The following is a 20590-nucleotide window of genomic DNA, read 5'->3' on the forward strand; positions in this document are numbered from 1 at the left end:
AGATATTTTAGGCTTTGCACGCCATCCAGTCTCTGTTACAACCACTCACTAGGCCTGAAAACGGCCTTAGGTAATATATAAATGCATGAGCATGGCTGTTCCAATAAAACTTTACTTATGGACACTGAAACTTGAATTTTCATGTGTCATAAAATATTAGTCTTTCCATTTTTAAAAACCATTCAGAAATGTAAAAACCACCTTAGTGTCTGGGTCATACAAAAAAAAGGTGGAGGGTCCACGGGCCAGACCATGGTTTGCCAATCCCTGCTCTAAAGAACTCTTACAGGCCAGGCACAGTGGCTCGCGCTTATAATCCCAGCACTTTGGGAGGCCAAGGTGGGCAGATCACATGAGGCCAGGAGTTCAAGACCAGCCTGGCCAACACAGTGAAACCCTGTCTCTACTAAAAATACAAAAATTAACTGAGTGTGGTGTCGCGCATCCGTGGTCCCAGCTACTTGGGAGGCTGAGGCACGAAAACCGCTTGAACCCAGGAGGCAGATGTTGCAGTGAGCCGAAGTCGTGCCACTGCATTCCACCCTGGGTGACAGAGCAAGACTCTGTCTTAAAAACAAACAGACAAAAAGAACTCTTACATACACATAACTCAACTACACATGAGAATGTTCATAACATCATTATGTGAATTAGCAAGTATGCAGATACCAAAAATGTTGGTAGACAAAAACTGGAGTTACATGTATCAACATGGATGATCTTACAAACCTATTTAAGAGAAAACACAAATTACAGAAGAACAGTTACAACGTCATTTATATACAAATTTTAAATATGCAGAAATTATATATTACTGAGCATATTTAACATATATAATAAAAGTCTGAACAGGCCATGCGCAGTGGCTCATGCCTGTAATCCCAGCACTTTGGGAGCTGAGGCAGGTGGATCACTTGAGATCAGGAGTTCAAGACCAGCCTGGCCAACATGGCGAAACCCCATCTCTACTAAAAATTCAAAAATTAGCCAGGTGTGTTGTTGCGCATCTGTAACCCTAGCTACTCAGGAGGCTGAGGCAGGAGAATCACTGAACCCGGGAGCCAGAGGATGCAGTGAGCCAAGATTGTGCCACTGCACTCCAGCCTCGGTGACAGAGTAAGACTCTTGTCTCAAAAAACAAAAAGGAATGTTCCACATCAAACTCATTTACCTGGGAATGACGTCAGGGGGAGGCAGGAGAAGGATACAACTGGAGAAGGATGCACAGGGGGCTTCAACTGCATTGTTGATGTTTCATTTTTTAAACTGAGTGACAAGTCGATCAATGTCCATTCTTGATACCACTGTGTACCTTAAATATTTAATAATAAATAAAAAGAAATGTGCAGTTTTGGGCTTTTTTTTGTTTTTTTTTGTTTTTTTAGATAGAGTCTCGCTCTGTCACCCAGGCTGGACTACAGTGGCGTGATCTGGGCTCACGCCCAGATCCTGAGTATCTGGGACTACAGGCGTGCACCACCATGCCTGGCTAATTTTTGTATTTTTAGTAGAGTTTTACCATGTTGGCCAGGCTGGTCTCGAACTCCTGACTTCAAGTGGTCCACCTGCCTTGATCTCCCAAAGTGCTGGAATTACAGGCATGAGCCACTACGCCCAGCCAGGAATGTGTAGATTTAATGTGAATTTAGCAAATGGTTTGTCCTATTTGAGGGCAGAGGTGAGGTCAGCTTATATTAACATATCCAAAAACTTGGTTTGAGCCCAGATTTCTGACACTAAAAACAAAAAATGCCCCATTTGTTTCTTTCTTCTTTCTTCTTTTTTTTTAGAGATGGAGTCTCGCTCTGTCGCCTGGGCTGGAGTGCAGTGGGGCAATCTTGGCTCACTGCAAGCTCCACCTCCCGTGTTCACGCCATTCTCCTGACTCAGCCTCCTGAGTAGCTGGGAACACAAGCGCCCACCACCACGCCCAGCTAATTTTTGTATTTTTAGTAGAGACGGGGTTTCACCGTGTTAGCCAGGATGGTCTCAATCTCCTGACCTCGTGATCCACCTGCCTCAGCCTCCCAAAGTGCTGGCATTACAGGCGTGAGCCACCACGCCCAGCCTATTTGTTTCATTTTTTAAAATTGGACTGAACCTTAGGAGAAAACAGAAAATTGTACTACATTCTTGCATAGCTAGCTAATGTAAATAGCTTCAAGCAACAAACTAGATATTATTGATCCGTTTCAAAAGAGCTGAGTCAGGCTGTACACGGTGGCTCATGCCTGTAATCCCAGCACTTTGAGAGGCCGAGGCAGGCGGATCACCTGAGGTCAGGAGTTGGAGACCAGCCTGGCCAATGTGGTGAAACCCCATGTCTACAACAAAAAAATACAAAAATTAGCTGGGCATGGTGGCGCGTGCCTGTAGTCCCAGCTACTGGGGAGGCTGAGGCACAAGAATCGCTTGAACCCGGTAGGTGGAAGTTGCAGTGAGCCAAGCAGAGATTGCACCACTGAACTCCAGCCTGGGCTGGAGGTTTTTTTCATCTCGGGAAAAAAAAAAAAAAAAAAAAGAGCTGAGTCAGATTCTGACTTGTCTAACGGACTCAGTCGTGATGTTTTGCCTGTCTGCTCCAAGTTCCCCTGTTCCAGACACATCTCTCACAGCATTACAATGATCTACATGCCCTAGGAATAGCGACTTTCCATCATCTGCCTCATCAGAGCAAATAGAAGTGTAAGTGGCAATGACGTTAGTGTTTGTGTGTGTGAAAACCTAGTGTGAATTTTCCCTTCTCTGGCAAAAGCTCACAAGCCATCATTATAGAAAAGCAGAAGAAAAAACTGCTTGTTCTGCTTTTCCTGACCTCAGAAGCAGTAGTTGTTAAAACTCTTTAAAAAAAAAAAAATGGGGTCTTGCTATGCTGCCCAGACAGGTCTCCATCTCCTGGGCTCAAGCAGAGCTGGGACTACAGGCACACCACCACACCAAGCAAAACTGTCTTTTGATTTAAAATTACTTAAATACCTCTTTAAGGGTCTCCTATAGTCACTTATCTTCCAGTTACCTAAATCACTAGCTTCTTTTTTTTTTCCTTCAGAGACCCCGCCCAAAGTCACATCCGTTGCAATTATCGGGCAGGTACTGCCCTCTAGTGTTTATACTTTTATAATAAAAATTTTACACACTACCCTTTTAACTGACCTCAAAGCATGGAAAATCTGTCAAAAACTAAATAATATCCTATTAACCCAAGATTTTTCACCTTCACACTACTGGCATTCTGATCACCCTTTGTTGCGGGGCTGTCTTGTGCACTGTGGGACGTTTTGGCAGCACCCCTGGCATCTTCCCACTTGATGCAGTAGCACTCCCACACACATCCCGGTGTGACAACCAAAAATATCTCCAGACACAGCTAAATGTCCCCAGGGGAACAAAATCACCCCTGCTTGAGATCCACTGTATTAGTCTAAAGGTTGTCCAAAACATTCACATTAGACCTGAAAATTGTAAGGGAAAAGGGCTTCTCTGGGCTAATTCCATTGAATGAGATAAAGAACTTCATTTCTGCATGAAAAACAAGGAGGTAGAGAATTAAGATTTTCAGCTCCCCGCCTCCACGTACCCGCAAAGTCCTGGCCATTGGGACATTTTTTACACCTTTAGCTTTCTGTTCCAGCTTTACCTCTTAGACCTCTTCACTTCCTTTCAAAGTGCATCACAAACAAAGCTTGCCCTTCTAGCCAAATGCAGAGAATGTGGTAGGGAAAAGGAAGAAGGGAGGTCTGAGCATTTGTACTCAAAAAAAGGGCTCTGGCCAGATGTGGTGGCTCGTGCCTGTAATCCCGGCACTTTGGGAGGCTGAGGTGGGCAGGAGTTCAAGACCAGCCTTGGCAACATGGCAAAACCCCATCTCTACTAAAAATACAAAATTAGCCGGGTTCAGTGGCAGGTGCTTGTAGTCCCAGCTATTCTGGAGGCTAAGGCATGAGAATCCCTTGAGCCTAGGGGGCAGGGAGGCTGCAGTGAGCCAAGATTGCCCCACTGCACTCCAGCCTGGGCAACAGAGCAAGACTCTGTCTCAAAAAAAAAAAAAGGAGAGGGGCTCTAGCAAAGCGTTAAGGCTCAGCATTAATAATGCCAGCCAACCAGGAACCTGTATTGATTGTCAGCCTAATATGAAAATTCTTATCAAATATCAAAATAAGTTTCAAATCTGGCTTTTAGAAAGATATTTAGGAGGGTTTATTCCAATCTGCTATGAATGATTATTCTTCATACAAGTGCATTATGCTTATAAACCTTGGTTCTGTGATTTTTTTTTTCCAGACGGAGTCTCACTCTGTCTCCCAGGCTGGAGTGCAGTGGCACGATCTCAGCTCACTGCAACCTCCGTCTCCCGGGTTCAAGCAATTCTCCTGCCTCAGCCTCCCAAGTAGCTGGGATTACAGACGTCCGCCACCACACCCGGCTAATTTTTGTGTTTTTAATAGAGACGGGGTTTCACCATGTTGGCCAGGATGGTCATGATCTCTTGACCTCGTGATCCGCCTGCCTCAGCCTTCCAAAGTGCTGGGATTACAGGTGTGAGCCACCGTGCCTGGCTAGTTCTATGAATTTTAACACTTGCAAATTACTGAGAACTTGATATTTAAAAAATAAAAAAGGAGTTTGGACTGTCACTAACTTCCTCCCCTCATCAAATTTCTCACTGACTTAGTTGATTTCACTGAAGAACTAAACAAAAAATAAGAATAATCGGGCCGGGAGCAGTGGTTCATGCCTGTAATCCCAGCAGTTTGGGAGACTGAGACAGGTGGATTACTTGAGGCCAGGAGTTTGCGACCAGCCTGGGCAACATGGTGAAACCCCGTCTCTATTAAAAATACAAAAAATTAGCCAGGCTTGGTGGTGCATGCCTGTAATCCCAGTTTCTGGGGAGGCTGAGGCACGAGAATCATTTGAGTCTGGGAGGCGGAGGTTGCAGTGAGCAACCTGTATCAAAAAAATAATAATTTTTTTCTGTCTCAAAAAATAATAATTTTTTTTTTTGAGACAGAGTCTCGCTCTGTCGCCCAGGCTAGAGTGCAGTGGTGCAACCTCTGCTCACTGCAACCTCCCTGCCTCCCGGGCTCAAGTGATTCTCGTGCCTCAGCCTCCAGAGTAACAGGGACTACAGGCACGCACCACCACGCCTGGCTAATTTTTGTAATTTTAGTAGAGACGGGGTTTCACCATATTGCCCAGGCTGGTCTTGAACTCCAGAGCTCAAGTGATTTGCCCTCCTTGGCCTCCCAAAGTGCTGGTATTACAGACATTAGCCAGCATGCCCGGCCTAAATACATTTGTATAATTAAAAATATTTCATTCTTTATTAACATTTTCAGACCTAGTTTTTTTTATCATTTAGTGAAATTGAAAGTCATAGAGCTCTACAATCGTCAAGCTCTTATTAGCAGACCGTTGGAATGGAAATCTGTTTTAGCTACTGTAACGGTTAATACTGAGTGTCAACTTGATTGGATTGAAGGACGCAAAGTATTGATCCTGGGTGTGTCCGTGAGGGTGTTGCAAAAAGAGATTAACATTTGAGTCAGTGGGCCGGGAACGGCAGATCCACCCTTAATCTGGCACCCTAATCAGCTGCCAGTGCAGCTAGAATATAAGCAGGCAGAAAAATGTGAAAAGAGAGACTGGCCTAGCCTCCCAACCTACATCTTCCTCCCGTGCTGGCTGCTTCCTGCCCTCGAACATCAGACTCCAAGTTCTTCAGTTTTGGAACTCGGACTGGCTCTCCTTACTCCTCAGCCTGCAGATGGCCTATTGTGGGACCTTGTGATCATGTGAGTTAATAAACTCCCCTTTATTCTCCCATTAGTTCTGTCCCTTTAGAGAACCCTGACTAATACAGCTACCCAGAGCGGTTTGTGATCACTGCCCGATCTCTTCTTCAGAGGCTGTGGCATTACTGACTCTGTTTTTACTGGGTTCATCCTATTCTCTTTCTCTCTCTCTCTCTTTTTTTTTCTTTTGAAACAGGGTCGTGCTTTGTCACCAGGCTGGAGTACAGCAACATGATCTCAGCTCACTGCAACCTCTGCCTCCTGAGCTCAAGCAATCCTCCTGTCTCAGCCTCCAGAGTACCTGAGACTACAGGCACGTGCCAACTCACCCTGCTAATTTTGGAGGGGGCACAGGGTGGGATGGATTTGGTAGAGACAGGTTTTACCATGTTGCCCAGGCTGGTCTTGAACTCCTGGGCTCAAGCCATCCACCAGCCTCGGCCTCCCAAAGTGCTGGGATTACAGGTGTGAGCCACCGCACCTGGCCCCATTCTGATTAATGCAATTAGAAAGTCTTCTAATCATACAATAAAGCAAAGTGCAAATAGTTCTTATGCTTTCATCTTTAAAGGGCAACCAAATGATTTAGAATATATATATTTGAAACTATAACCTAGAAAAGTCATATGACTTGGAAGTAAAAAGCTAAAGCAAAACACAAAATCTGGAAATATATCATTCTGATCACAGAGAGAGGAGAGGTATATGTCACCAGATATTAAAAGGATCTTTTTTCAGTTATATAAAAAAGTCAAGCTATTCTGGAATATGCAATTATTTAAAACATCCAGAAGTTTTTCTAAAAAACAAATTATGGTAGAAATTTGTTTATATATTCATTGCTAATTTCTTAGCACTTTAAATCCCTTAGGTGAAGGAAAATTCCTTAGGTTTTTATATTAAGGAACTGTGGCAGGCAGAATAATCCCTCCTCACCCTAAGTCCATGTCCTAATCCTCAGAGTGAATATGTTACCTTACAGGACAAAAGGGATTTTGCAGGTGTGATGAAGTTAAGGATTTTGAGGCGGGGAGATTATCCTGGGCCCAGCGTAATCACAAGAGTCCTTATAAGTAAAAGAGGGAAACGGGAAAGTCAGAGCCAGAGATGCTGGAAGTGGAGGTCAGCGTGGTGCAATAGTTAGCTTTGAGATGAAGCGGGGCCATGAGCCAAGGAATTCGGGCAGCATCTAGAAGCTGGAAAAGCCAAAGAACAGATTCTCCCCTAGAGCCCGCAGAAGGAACACAGCCCTGTGGACACCTTGATTTTAGCACCGTAAGATCCATTTCCATCATCTAACCTCTAAAACTGTAAGAAAATTAATTTGTGTTAAGTGGCTTCATTTGTGGTAATTTGTTATAGCAACAATATGAAACTAATACAGGAGCATTTTATTAGTCTTTTAGTACTTTGACTATCCCGTTCAGTCAGAATTGTGGCATTTAAATAATTACATCTCATATATATATGTATTTTTTTTTTTAGATGGAGTCTTGCCCTGTCGCCCAGGCTGGAGTGCAGTGGGGCGATCTCGGCTCACTGCAAGCTCCGCCTCCTGGGTTCACGCCATTCTCCTGCCTCAGCCTCCCAAGTAGCTGGGACTACAGGCACCCACCACCACGCCGGCTTAATTTTTGTCTTGTTTTTTGTTTTTTTTTTTTTAGTAGAGACAGGGTTTCACCATGTTAGCCAGGATGGTCTCGATCTCCTGACCTCGTGATCCACCCGCCTCGGCCTCCCAAAGTGCTGGGATTACAAGCGTGAGCCACCGTGCCTGTCCAATTACATCTCATATTATCATGTTGGCTATAAAACTGTATGCACCCTTTTTATGGTTGCTAATAAAAATGTTTTTGCTCAAATATACTTGCTATTTACCTTTAAGTGAATAATGTATTCCAGAATTAAAATCCAGGGCAAATATACACACAATAAGGAGCACCACTCTAGCAATACCAGACACATTTAGTAGACATGACACATGCATTTAAATATGTGGAAAATTCTAAGCAGCTACCTATCAAATCTCAAGAGATAAAGTCCAGCAGCCCAACCACACTGGCTGTCAAACAGGCTGAAATTTGATTCAGAAAATAGAATCTGATTCAGAAGACAAAAATGGTAACGTTAACAATGCTATTTTGATGTGACCCTTTAGCAGAAAGCTGACCTTTTCGGCAGTTGTTAAAAAGCAAGGTATGTCTGTAGGAGAGAGCAGAGCTTGATAAATGAAGAAAACAGGTCTATCCCCATAATATAGAGAGAAATCACTGACAATTTAGTCTCATCTTGTTCCACTATCATTTTAACAGTGGAAGCTGCCACTGCGAAAGCTCGCTGCATGGCACCTGTTAGGCCTCATTCTCATCTCGCAGTTCCCAGAATTCCTCTTGATTGCAGCATCCATACACTCTTCATTTTCCTGCAAGGTATTATTTGGACACTCTTCAAGAATCCTTTTTCTTTTTTTTTCCCGAGATGGAGCCTCACTTCGTTGCCCAGGCTGGAGTGTAGCGGCGCAATCTCGGCTCACTGCAACCTCCTCCTCCCGGGTTCAAGCGATTCTCCTGCCTCAGCCCCCCGAGTAGCTAGGACTACAGGCGTGCGCCACCACACCAGCTAATTTTTGTATTTTTAGTAGAGGCGGGGTTTCACCATGTTAGCCAGGCTGGTCTCGAACTCCTGACTTCAAGGGATCCGCCCACCTCTGCCTCCCAAAGTGCTGGGATTACAAGCATGAGCCACCACACCCGACCCTCTTAAGGAATCCTAATTGCAACTTTTAAGGCTTGTAATTCCTCCAAATAACTAAAGCAATAGCACATACTCTAAAAAGAAAACTTTTCTTCCTTTGCCAATATATTGACAAATTTGGAAAAGATAAAATCCCAACATAATGTTCATTGTTCTTATGATTATGACTCTTGAAACTTTATGCAGATAACTCTGTACACAGACTAGTCCCTCATCTTTCCCAAAATGCTTAAGAAAAACAAGAATGTTTAATCCAGATGCTGTTTTCTAAATTGGCCAATTCAGTTTAGCACTTACATCTTAAGAAAGTAAGCTTCAAAAATTCTCCTGTTTCTCCTGTGATGTGTCAATATCATTTGGCCTTTGGCTTCAATTAGGACATGAGTTGATTTCTTCTTAGCCCTAACTAATGGTCATGTAGTAGACTGACTTTTCAAATAGTGTGTTTAGAATAAATTAGTTCATTACAGAACATTTTCTTTATTTTCAGCTGGCATCAATGTGGGCATCAAGGTGTCCTCCTACTAAGCAGTTTAATCTGAATTGGTAACATGGATTATATATACCTATAGTAACTTGGAGATTTTACTGTATTTCTCTTTTGAGATGTTTTACATAATTTTTTTCTCCTTGATGTGCTACTAAAATGTCTGTAGAAAACTGTATGCTTTAAGTCTAAACATCAAGTACAGTGTGGGTTGAAGGGATGATATCAAAAAAAAGCAAACTCCATCCTTTTTTTTTTTTTTTTTGTAGACAGAGTCTCGCTCTGTCACCCACGGCGTGGAGTGTAGTGGCACGATCTCGGCTCACTGCAACCTCCGCCTCCCAGATTCAAGTGATTCTCCTGCCTCAGCCTCCCAGTAGCTGGGACTACAGGCATGTGCCACCACGCCCAGCTAATTTTTTTGTATTTTTAGTAGAGATGGGGTTTCACCATGTTGGCCAGGATGATCTCAATCTCGACCTCGTGATCCGCCGCCTCGACCTCCCAAAGTGCTGGGATCATAGGCGTAAGCCATTGCGCCCGGCCAACTCCAGCCATTTTTAAGCTATACTTAAGATCTTTCTGTCTTACATTTCTGTAATGAGACAGCTAATCACAACTAAGCGGGTTGGTTATAAAGATCTAAACCGGCCGGGCGCGGTGACTCATGCCTGTAATCCCAGCACTTTGGGAGGCCGAGGTGGGCGGATCACGAGGTCAGGAGATCCAGACCATCCTGGCTAACAGTGAAACCCCGTCTCTACTGAAAATACAAAAAATTAGCCAGGCATGGTGGCGGACGCCTGTAGTCCCAGCTACTCGGGAGGCTGAGGCAAGAGAATGGCATGAACCTGGAAGGCGGAGCTTGCAGTGAGCTGAGATCGCACCACTGCACTCCATCCTGGGCGACAGAGTGAGACTCCGTACTCAAAAAAAAAAAAAAAAAAAGAACCTAAACCGACATTGTAAGCAAGACAATGCTACAAAATATGGAAGACACAAAGAGAGTTCCTACCCTCCAGAGAATTTCCCTGAGACGAGTACTGCCTTTCAGTTTTCTCTGTTGTGGGGACAGAAAGAATAATGGTAAGAGGCTGAGTAATGGCTGCATCATGAGGGTAGTCTAGACAAGCAACCCATGGATATGCAAGAGAAAGACTGTCTCCAGGGGTCCATGAAAGAGACTGCCTGAAGGTGGGTGGGATCTTGATGAGATGGAAAACCTTCCAGGCAGAGGGAAAAGTGTGAGCAAAGACAGAGAGATTTGTGTATTCATTTCCCAGGGCTGCTGGAACAAGGTACCACAAACTGGGTGGCTTAAAACAGCAGAAATCTCTCACAGTTCTGAAGGCCAGAAGTCTGACATAGAGTTGTGGGTGGGGCAATACTTTCTCTGAAGGCTCTAAGAGAGGATTTTCCTTGCTGCTTCTTAGCTTCTGGTGGTTGCAGACAATTCTTGGCATTCTTTGGTTTGTAGACACACATCACTCCAATCTCTGCCTCCACCGTGATATGTTGTTTTCTTTATATGTCTCTCTGTTCACATGCCCCCCAGCTCTGCGTCTGTATCTATATCTCCTCCTCTCATAGGTACATAGCTTATACTGGATTAGAGCCCACCCACCCACTAGGACATCATCTTAACTACATCTACAATGACTCTATCTCCAAATAAGGTCACATTCATAGGTAGGCATTAGAACTTGAACATATCTTTTTGAAGGACACAATTCAACCCACAACATATGGTCATGAGAAGGTCAGTGTGGTCAGAAAGTAGAGTATATCTAGGGAAAGAGTGGAAGTAACTCAGGAAGAAGGGGCTGGAGTATAGAGAACCTTGATGAATAAGCAATGAGGGTGCACAGAATATATATATATATTTTTTCGAGGCAGAGTTTCACTCTTGTTGCCCAGCTGGAGTTGCAATGCACGATCTTGGCTCACTGCAACCTCTGCCTCCCGGGTTCAAGCGATTCTCCTGCCTCAGCCTCCCAAGTAGCTGGGATTACAGGCATGTGCCACCACACCTGGCTAATTTTGTATTTTTAGTAGAGACAGGGTTTCTCCATGTTGGTCAGGCTAGTCTTGCACTCCTGACCTCAGGTGATCTGCCTGCCTTGGCCTCCCAAAGTGCTGGGATTACAGGCGTGAGCCACCACGCCCAGCCATTAGGGTGCACAGAATATTTTTAAGTAAAGGAGTATTACTGGCCAGGTGTGGTGGCTCACGCCTGTAATCTCAGCACTTTGGGAGGCCGAGTGGGTGGATCCCTTGAGCTCAGGAGTTTGCGACCAGCCTGGGCGACATGGCAAAACTTCGTCTCTACTAAAAATACAAAAATTTACTGGGCATGGTGGTGCATGCCTGTGATCCCGGCTACTTGGGGGGCTGAGGTGGGAGGCTGCTTGAGCTTGGGAGGCAGAGGCTGCAGTAAGCTGAGATCATGCCACTGCACTCTAGCCTGGGCGACAGACTGAGACACCATCTCAAAAAAATAAATAAATTAATTAATTAATTAATTAAATTAAAAGGAGTATTACTAATAAAGTTGTCCATTTGGGAAAATTGATTTGTCATTATTATTTAAAATTCATTATAGTAGAAAAAGAGAAAAGAATAGGAAAAGTCAGAGAGCTACTTCAGGAATAGAGGGGGTTCGTGATGCATCAAATAAAATAGTCCATAGATCTGTAAAGAATGGGACATACAAGACAGCCTGGTTATAAGAGATGAGGTATGACTGAAGTTGGGGACTAGGAGAATAGTGTTAGAATTATTATCATTGTTACATTAATCAAACTGCATTCTAACACCAATTCTCGGGTGTCAACTGGGTGTTCTACATTTCAATTCTGATACTACCTACTGAGAAATAAAAATGAAATCCTAAGTACTCCCAGCCAACTGAATGGGCCCCCTCTTGGTCAAGAGACCACTGTCCGTGGACTTGTTCTGGCCACTTTACAGAGGCTGTACACAGGATGCCTCTATGTCCTCCATTTCACTTTCTGACATTACAGCCTAATTTTAATTACTTTCTGACATTACAGCCTAATTTTAATACATTTAAATATTAAGTCACCACCCCAAAGTAAACATGTGACATTTGTAACACGCATTTTGACTTACTAGCATGTGCCCCCCTCTTTATGAATATTCACAGCTCCTCCTGTAACCTGTTGACTGTATACAAAGCCAATCCATTCAGCATAAATTCCTGCCTCACCCTCTCCTCCCTCAAAGTGCCTGCTTTCAGTTTCTACCAGAGGCTACACTTCCCAGCCTGCAGGCTGCAATCCATCATAAAAAATAAAACTCTTGTTTCCAAATTTATGAACCTTAAGTGCAGAATCCACAGGTTAAGGACAAAGTCCTTCACAAAATTGCATCTTGGGTGTCCCCAAACCACCCAAACTTCTGCCCACACAACTATAAATTCGGGGCTTCCCACAACCTCCTCAGGTTCAATAATTTGCTAGAACAACCCAGAACCCACTGTTCTGGGTAAATAATACAACTGTTATTTAACATCACATTTGTATCATAAAGAATAGCATTCACAGCCAGGCGCGGTGGCCCATGCCTGTAATCCCAGCACTTTGGGAGGCTGAGGCGGACGGATCATGAGGTCAGGAGATTGAGACCATCCTGGCTAACACGATGAAACCTCGTCTCCCCTAAAAATACAAAAAATTAGCCAGGCGTGGTGGCAGGCGGCTGTAGTCCCAGCTACTAGGGAGGCTGAGGCAGGAGAATGGCGTGAACCCGGGAGGTGGAGCTTGTAGTGAGCAGAGATCACGCCACTGCGCTCCAGCCTGGGTGACAAGAGCGAGACTCCCTCACAAAAAAAAAAAAAAAGAATAGAATTCACTGCAGATGCAGTGGTTCATGCCCGGAATCTCAACATTTTGGGAGGCCAAGGCAGAAAGATTGCTTGAGCCCAGGAGTTTGATACTAGCCTGGGAAACATGGCAAGTCCCATCTCTACAAAATTTTTTAAAAATTAGCTGGGTGTGGTGGTGCACACCTGTGGTCCTAAGCTACTCAGACAGAGGCTGAGGTGGGAGGATCACTTGAGCCCAAGAAGCCAAGGCTGCAGTGAGCCATGTTTGTGCCACTGTACTCCAGCCTGGATGACAGACCTGAATGACAATTTTCTTTGCCTCAAAAAAAAAAAGGAATACAATTCAATAAAACAAAAAACCAGGGCGTGGTGATATGCACCTGTAGTCCCAACTACTTGAGAGGCCTGAGGCAGGAGGACTGCTTGAGTCCAGGAGCTTGAGGCTACAGTGAGCTGATTGTACCACTGCACTCCAGCCTGGGTGGCAGAATAAGATTGTCAAAAAAAAAAAAAGCCAGGCACAGTGGCTCACATCTGTAATCCCACGTAATCCCAGCACTTTGGGAGGCCAAGGCAGGCGGATCACCTGAGGTCAGGAGTTCAAGATCAGCCTGGCAAACATGGTGAAACCCCATCTCTACTGAAAAAAAAAATACAACAAAATTAGACAGGAGTAGTGGCAGGCGTCTGTAATTCCAGCTACTTGGGAGGCTGAGGCAGAAGAATCCCTTGAACCCAGGAGGCAGAGGTTGCAGTGAGCCGAGATTGTGCCATTACACTCCAGCCTAGGTGACAAGAGTGAGACTCCATCTCAAAAAAAAAAGAAAGAAAGAAAGAAACCAGGCGTGGTGGCTCACACCTGTAATCCCAGCACTTTGGGAGGCCGAGGTAGGCGGATCATGAGGTCAGGAGATCAAGACCATCCTGGCCAACGTGGTGAAACCCTGTCTCTACTAAAAATACAAAAATTAGCCAGGCATGGTGGTGCGCACCTGTAGTCCCAGCTACTTGGGAGACTAAGGTAGGAGAATCGCTTGAACCCGGGAGGCAGAGGTTGCAGTGAACCAAGATCATGCCACTGCACTCCAGCCTGGCAACAGAGACTTTGTCTCCAAAAACAAAAATACAATTCAAGAACAACCAATGAAAAAGACACTTAGGGCAAGGTCTGAGGGTGGGGGAGCAGGGAACAGGAACAGAGCTTCCCGTGCCTTCTCCTCATGGAATCTGGGTACATCACCCTCCCTGTACATCAACGTGTTCACAAACTAGGAAGCTCCACTGAGCCTTGGAGTCTAGAGTATTTATTAGGTTTTCATTATGTAGGGCATGATTCATGAAATCATTGGCCACTTGATTGAACCCAATCTCTAGACTCTCTCTCCTCCAAGAAGATCAGGGTTGCCGGGAGTAGGGTAGGTCAGTAAAATTGAAAGATTGAAAGTTCAGTCCTCTGAACCTATGCTTGGTCTTTCTGGTGTGACCAGCCAGTCCCTTGAAAATATCAAAGGACTCACAGTGTGTTAATTCAGTCACATCAACTCAGGTATGGTCAAAAGAGGATCATAAAGAATAACAAAAAAATATCCCTTTCTGTCCCTTAGGAAATTCTAAGGGTTTTAGTTTGTTTTTAGAGATGGGGGTCTCACTCCATTACTCAGTCTGGAGGGCAGTGGTGCAGTCATAGCTCATTGCAGCCTCAAACTCCTGGACTCAAGCAATCTTCCTGCATCAGCCTCTCAAAGTGCTGGAATTACAGGCGTGAGCCACTGTGCCCATTTTCCAAGGGTTTTTGAACCCATGTGCTGGCAACCAGAGACAAAGATCAGACATATAGGCAAAGCTCAGAGATGTTGCAGTTTGTGTTCCAAACCACAGCAATAAAGTGAATATCACAATGAAGCGAGTCACACAAATTTTTTGGTTTCCCAGTGCTTATAAAAGTTATGTTTATACTATACTGTAGACTATTAAGTGTGCAATAGCATTATGTCTTAGAAGTATACACATTTTAATTTGAAAATACTTTATTGCTAAAAAAAATGCTAACGATCGTCTGAGTCTGGTGGAGAGTCTTGGCTTGATGTTGATGGCTGCTGACTGATCACAGTGGTGGTTGCTGAACCCTGAGGTGGCTGCGGCAATTTCTTAAATAAAACAATGACATTGCTGCATCAATTGACCTTTCCTTTCACAAGAGATTGCTCTGTAGCATGCGATGCTTTTTGATAGCGTTTAACTACAGTAGAATTTCTTTCAAAATTGGAATCAATCCTCAAACCCTGCCACTGCTTTAACAACTAAGTTGTTGTAATATTTTAAATCCTTTGTTGTCATTTCCACTATGTTCACAGAATCTTCACAAGTAGATTCCATCTCAAGAAATCTCTTTCTTTGCTTATCCATAAGAAGCAACTCCACATCTGTTAAAGTTTTATCATGAGATTGAGGCAATTCAGATTCATCTTCAAGCTCCACTTCTAAATCTAGTCCCCTTGCTATTTCTACCACATCTGCAGTTCCTTCCTCCACTGATGTCTTAAACTCCTCAAAGTCATCCATGAGGATTGGAATCAACTTCTTCCAAATTTCTGTTAATGATATTTTGACCTCCTCCCATGAATCATAAATGTTCTTTTTCTTTTGTTTTTGTTTTTTTGAGATGGAGGTTCACTCTTATTGCCCAGGCTGGAGTGCAATGGTGCAATCTCGGCTGACTGCAACCTCTGCCTCCCAGGTTCAAGCTGTTCTCCTGCCACAGCCTCCCAAGCAGCTGGGATTACAGGTGCCTACTGCCACACCTGGCTAATTCTTGTATTTTTAGTAGAGATGGGGTTTCATCATGTTGGCCAGGCTGATCTCAAACTCCTGACCTCAGGCAATCCACCCACCTCGGCCTCCCAAAGTGCTGGGATTACAGGCGTGAGCCACCACACCTGGCCTTGAATCATAAATGTTCTAATGGCATCTAGAATGGTGATTCCTTTCCAGAAGGTTTTCAATTTTCTTTGCCCAGATCCATCAGAGGAATCACTATCAATGACAGTTATAGCCTTATGAAATATATTTCATAAATAAGAAGACTTGAAAGTCCAAATTGCTCCTTTATCCCTGGGTGGCAGAATGGATGTTGGGTTAGCAGGCATAAAAACAACAGTAATTTCCTTTTACATCTCCATCAGAGGTCTTGGGTGACCAGGTGGATTGTCAATGAGCAGTAATATTTTGAAAGAAATCTTTTTTCTGAGGAGTAGGTCTCAACAGTGGGCTTAAAGTATTTAATAGGCCAGGTGAAGTGGCTAGTGCCTGCAATCCCAGCACTTTGGGAGGCCAAGACAGGAGGATCACTTGAGCCCATGAGTTTAAGACCAGTCTGTGCAACATGGCAAAACTCTGTCTCTACAAAAAATACAAAAATTAGCCAGGTGTGGTAGCACTTACCTGTGGTCCCAGCTACTAGGGAGGCTGGGGTGAGAGGATCACCCAAGCCCAATGAGGTCGAGGCTGCAGTGAGCCACGATCGTGCCACTGCACTCCAGCCTGGGTGACAGAATGAGACCCTGTATCAAAAACAAACCAAAAAAAAAGTATTCAGTAAACCATGCTGTAAACAGATATGCTGTAATCCAGGCTTTGTTTTTCCAATGATAGAGCACAGGCAGAGTAGATTTTGCATAATACTTTAGGATCCTAGAATTTTTGGAATGGTAAATAAGCATTGGCTTCAACTTAAAGTTACCAGTTGGGTTGGGCATGGTGGCTCTCGCCTATAATCCCAGCACTTTGGAAAGCCAAGATGAGTGGATCACTTGAGGTCAGGAGTTCAATACCAGCCTGGGCAACATAGTGAAACTTTATCTCTGCTTAAAATACAAAAATTAGCTGGGTGTGGTGGCGCACACCTGTAGTACCAGCTACTTGGGAGGCTGAGGCATGAGACTCTCTTGAACCTGAGAGGTGGAGGCTATAGTAAGCCAAGACCGCACCACTGCACTCCAGCCTAAGTGACAGAGCAAGACTCTGTCTCAAAAAAAAAAAGAAAAAGAAAAAGAAAACCTGTTGTTTAATGGAGCCACCTTCATCAATGATCCTAGCTAAAGTTTCTGGATAACTTGCTGCAGTTCCTACATCAGCACTTGCTACTTCACCTTGCCCTTTTATGTCATGGAGATAGCTTCTTTCCTCATGAACCAACCTCTGCTAGCTTTTAACTACTCTTCTGCAGCTTCCTCACCTCTGTGGTTTGGAAACAAACTGCAGCATCTCTGAGCTTTGCCTATATGTCTGATCTTTGTCTCTGGTTGCCAGCACATGGGTTCAAAAACCCTTGGAGAATGGGCACAGTGGCTCACGCCTGTAATTCCAGCACTTTGAGAGGCTGAAGCAGAAGGATTGCTTGAGTCCAGGAGTTTGAGGCTGCAATGAGCTATGACTGCACCACTGCCCTCCAGACTGGGTAATGGAGTGAGACCCCCATCTCTAAAAACAAACTAAGTAAAACCCTTAGAATTTCCTAAGGGACAGAAATGAAGACAAGGCCTTGCTCTGGATTAGGGATTGGTTTAAGGGCATGCTGTGGCTGTTTTGATCTTCTATTAAGACCACTCAAACTTCCTCCATGTCAGCAATAAGGCTGTTTAGCTTTCTTATCATTCATGGCTAACTTATCATTAGCTAGCTGCTTGGCACAAGAGACCTAGTTTTTGGCCTATCTCAGCTTTCTTGGCTTTTGAAATGCCATCTTTACTAAATGTAATCATTTCTAGCTTTTGATTTAACATGAAAGACATGCAACTCTTCTTTACAATTAAACACTTAGAGGCCATTGTAAAGTTATTAATTGACCTAATTTCAATGTCGTTGTGTCTCAGGGAATAGGGAGGCCTGAAGAGAGGGAGAGACACAGGAATGGCCATTCAGAAGAGCCGTCGGAACGCACAAATTTATCCATTAAGTTTACCATTTTATATAGGCACAATTTGTGGCACCCCAAAATAATTACAATACTAACATCAAAGATCACTGATCATCTCTGTTTCCACTTGAGGGTTGGGAAAAGAACAAAAATCACTAATCATAGATCACCTTAAAAGATATAATAATAATTTAAGAGTTTAAAATATTATAAGGATTACCACAATGTGACACAGAGACATGAAGTGACTAGGGCTGTTAGAAAAATGGCACCGATAGACTTGCTTGATGCAGGGTTGCAATAAACATTCAATTTGTAAAAAATATAACATCCAGGCCAGGCGCAGTGGCTCATGCCTGTAATCCCAACACTTTGGGAAGCCGAGGCAGGCAGATCACCCAAGGTCAGGAGTTCAAGACCAGCCTGGCCAACATGGTAAAACTCTGTGTCTACAAAAAAAAAATAATAATACAAAAATTAGCCAGACGTGGTAGCAGGTGCCTGTAATCCCAGCTACTTGGGAGGCTAAGGTGGGAGAATCACTTGAACCCGGGAGGCAGAGGTTGCAGTGAGCCGAGATCGTGCCATTGCACTCCAGCCTGGGTGACAGAGCAAGACTCCATCTCAAAAAAAAAAAAAAAAAAAAAAAAAAACTACAAAGTGCAATAAAGGTGAAGCTCAATAAAATATGCCAGTATTCTTTATTATATCACTATACTTTTTTTTTTTTTTTAGACAGAGACTCACTCTGTTGCCCAGGCTGGAGTGCAGTGATGCAGTCTCGGCTCACTGCAACCTCTGCCTCCCAGGTTCAAGCGATTCTCCTGCCTCAGTCTCCCGAGCAGCTGGGATTACAGGTGCCTACCACCATGCCTGGCTAATTTATGTATTTTTATTTTTATTTTTATTTATTTATTTATTTTTTGCGACGGAGTCTCATTCTGTCACCCAGGCTGGAGTGCAGTGGCTCAATTTCGGCTCACTGCAAGCTCCGCCTCCTGGGTTCACGCCATTCTCCTGCCTCATCCTCCCGAGTAACTGGGACTACAGACGCCTGCCATCACGCCCAGCTAATTTTTTGTATTTTTAGTAGAGACGGGTTTTCACTGTGTTAGCCAGGATGGTCTCGATCTCCTGACCTCATGATCCGCCCGCCTTGGCCTCCCAAAGTGCTGGGATTACAGGTGTGAGCCACCGCGCCCGGCAATTTATGTATTTTTAGTAGAGATGGGGCTTCACCATCTTGGCCAGGCTGGTCTCAAACTCCTAACCTCAGGTGATCCGCCTGCCTCAGCCTCCCAAGGTGCTCAGATTACAGGCTTGAGCCACCGTGCCAAGCCTTTATTATATCACATACATTTTAATAAATGATATTTATTAAGGATTAAGGACTAGATATATAACAGGCACATTTAACTCTCATACCAACCTTATTTATCATCTCTATTTTACAGGTGAGGAGATTGAAACGCAGGGACTATATAATGAGCCCCAAGATCGTAATATCAGTAATTGGTAGAGTAAGGATTCAAAGCCAGGTCAGTTCACTCAAGAGCCTGTGCTGGTAACAACTGATACTTCCTCCCTGTGTCCTCAAGCAAGTCACTTAACCCCACAGATTTTGGTTTTCCATGCAGTTAAGATAGAGAAGGTGGACTCCATGATTACTAATGTTCCTTTCAACTCTAGTGTTTCCCCTTTTCATTTAAATTGTTTCAAGGCTGGGCATCGTGGCTCACGCCTGTAATCCTAATACTTTGGGAGGTCAAGGCAGGCAGATCACTTGAAGTCAGGAGTTCCAGACCAGCATGGGCAACGTGGTGAAACCCTGTCTCTACAAAAATACAAAATTAGTGGGGCTTGGTGGTGTGTGCCTGTAGTCCCAGCTACTCCAGATGTTGAGGCACGAGAATCGCTTGAACCCGGGAGACGGAGGTTGTAAGCTGAGATTGCCCCACTGCACTCCAGCCTGGGCAACAGATCGAGACTCTCTTAAATAAATAAATAAACAAATAGTTTCAAAACACCACTCTTTTTTTTCTTTTTTTTTTTTTGTAGACGGAGTCTCGCTCTGTCGCCCAGTCTGGAGTGCAGTGGCGCGATCTCGGCTGACTGCAACCTCTGCCTTCCATGTTCAAGCTAGTCTCCCGCCTCAGCCTCTCAAGTAGCTGAGATTACAGACATACACCACCACACCCAGCTAATTTTTTTGTATGTTTAGTAGAGATGGGGTTTCCCCATATTGGCCAGGCTGGTCTCAAACTCCTGACCTCAAGTGATCTGCTCACATGGGCCTCCCAAAGTGCTGGGATTACAGGTGTGAGCCACCACACCTGGCCAAAACACCATTCTTAATGGCTGCATAATATCCTACTTATGAGTAAAAGATAATTTACTATTACCGTACTGCTGGACATTTAGGCTGCTTCCAGTTTTTCCTTAACACAATTATCCTCGCAATGAACATTCTGGTGTTTTACAGATTATTTTTTAGAATAAATCCTTAGAAATAATTCTATCACCATCCATTCCTGTAATGAGTTTTTTTTTTAAGTTTTGTTCATCTAATCAATGTAATTTAAGCTGTGTTATCTTACTATACCTGTTTTTTAAAACCAGTATTATGCCACTATGGGGACTTAGTAAGAAAAAATAAAACACATTTTACTCTTGCCTGATTTCTTTAAGATTTTTAATCATTAATTTTTTCTTTTTTCTTTTTTTTTGTTTTTGAGATGGAGTTTTGCTCTTGTCACCCAGGCTGGAGTGCAACAGCATGATCTCCGCTCACT

The 20590-nt window shown here is 43.9% G+C and overlaps 1 annotated feature.

The window, feature by feature from the left end:
* Positions 2431-2717: a transcriptional cis regulatory region, noted in NCBI's record as "candidate enhancer chr1.8432 targeted for multiplex CRISPR interference". NCBI's record gives its function as "positively regulates VPS45 gene expression with high confidence in K562 cells {active_cell/tissue: K562}" and the evidence as "EXISTENCE:mutant phenotype evidence [ECO:0000015][PMID:30612741]".

The sequence above is a fragment of the Homo sapiens genome, chromosome 1 (assembly GCF_000001405.40).
Source record: "Homo sapiens chromosome 1, GRCh38.p14 Primary Assembly".
Classification (NCBI taxonomy): Eukaryota; Metazoa; Chordata; class Mammalia; order Primates; family Hominidae; genus Homo; species Homo sapiens.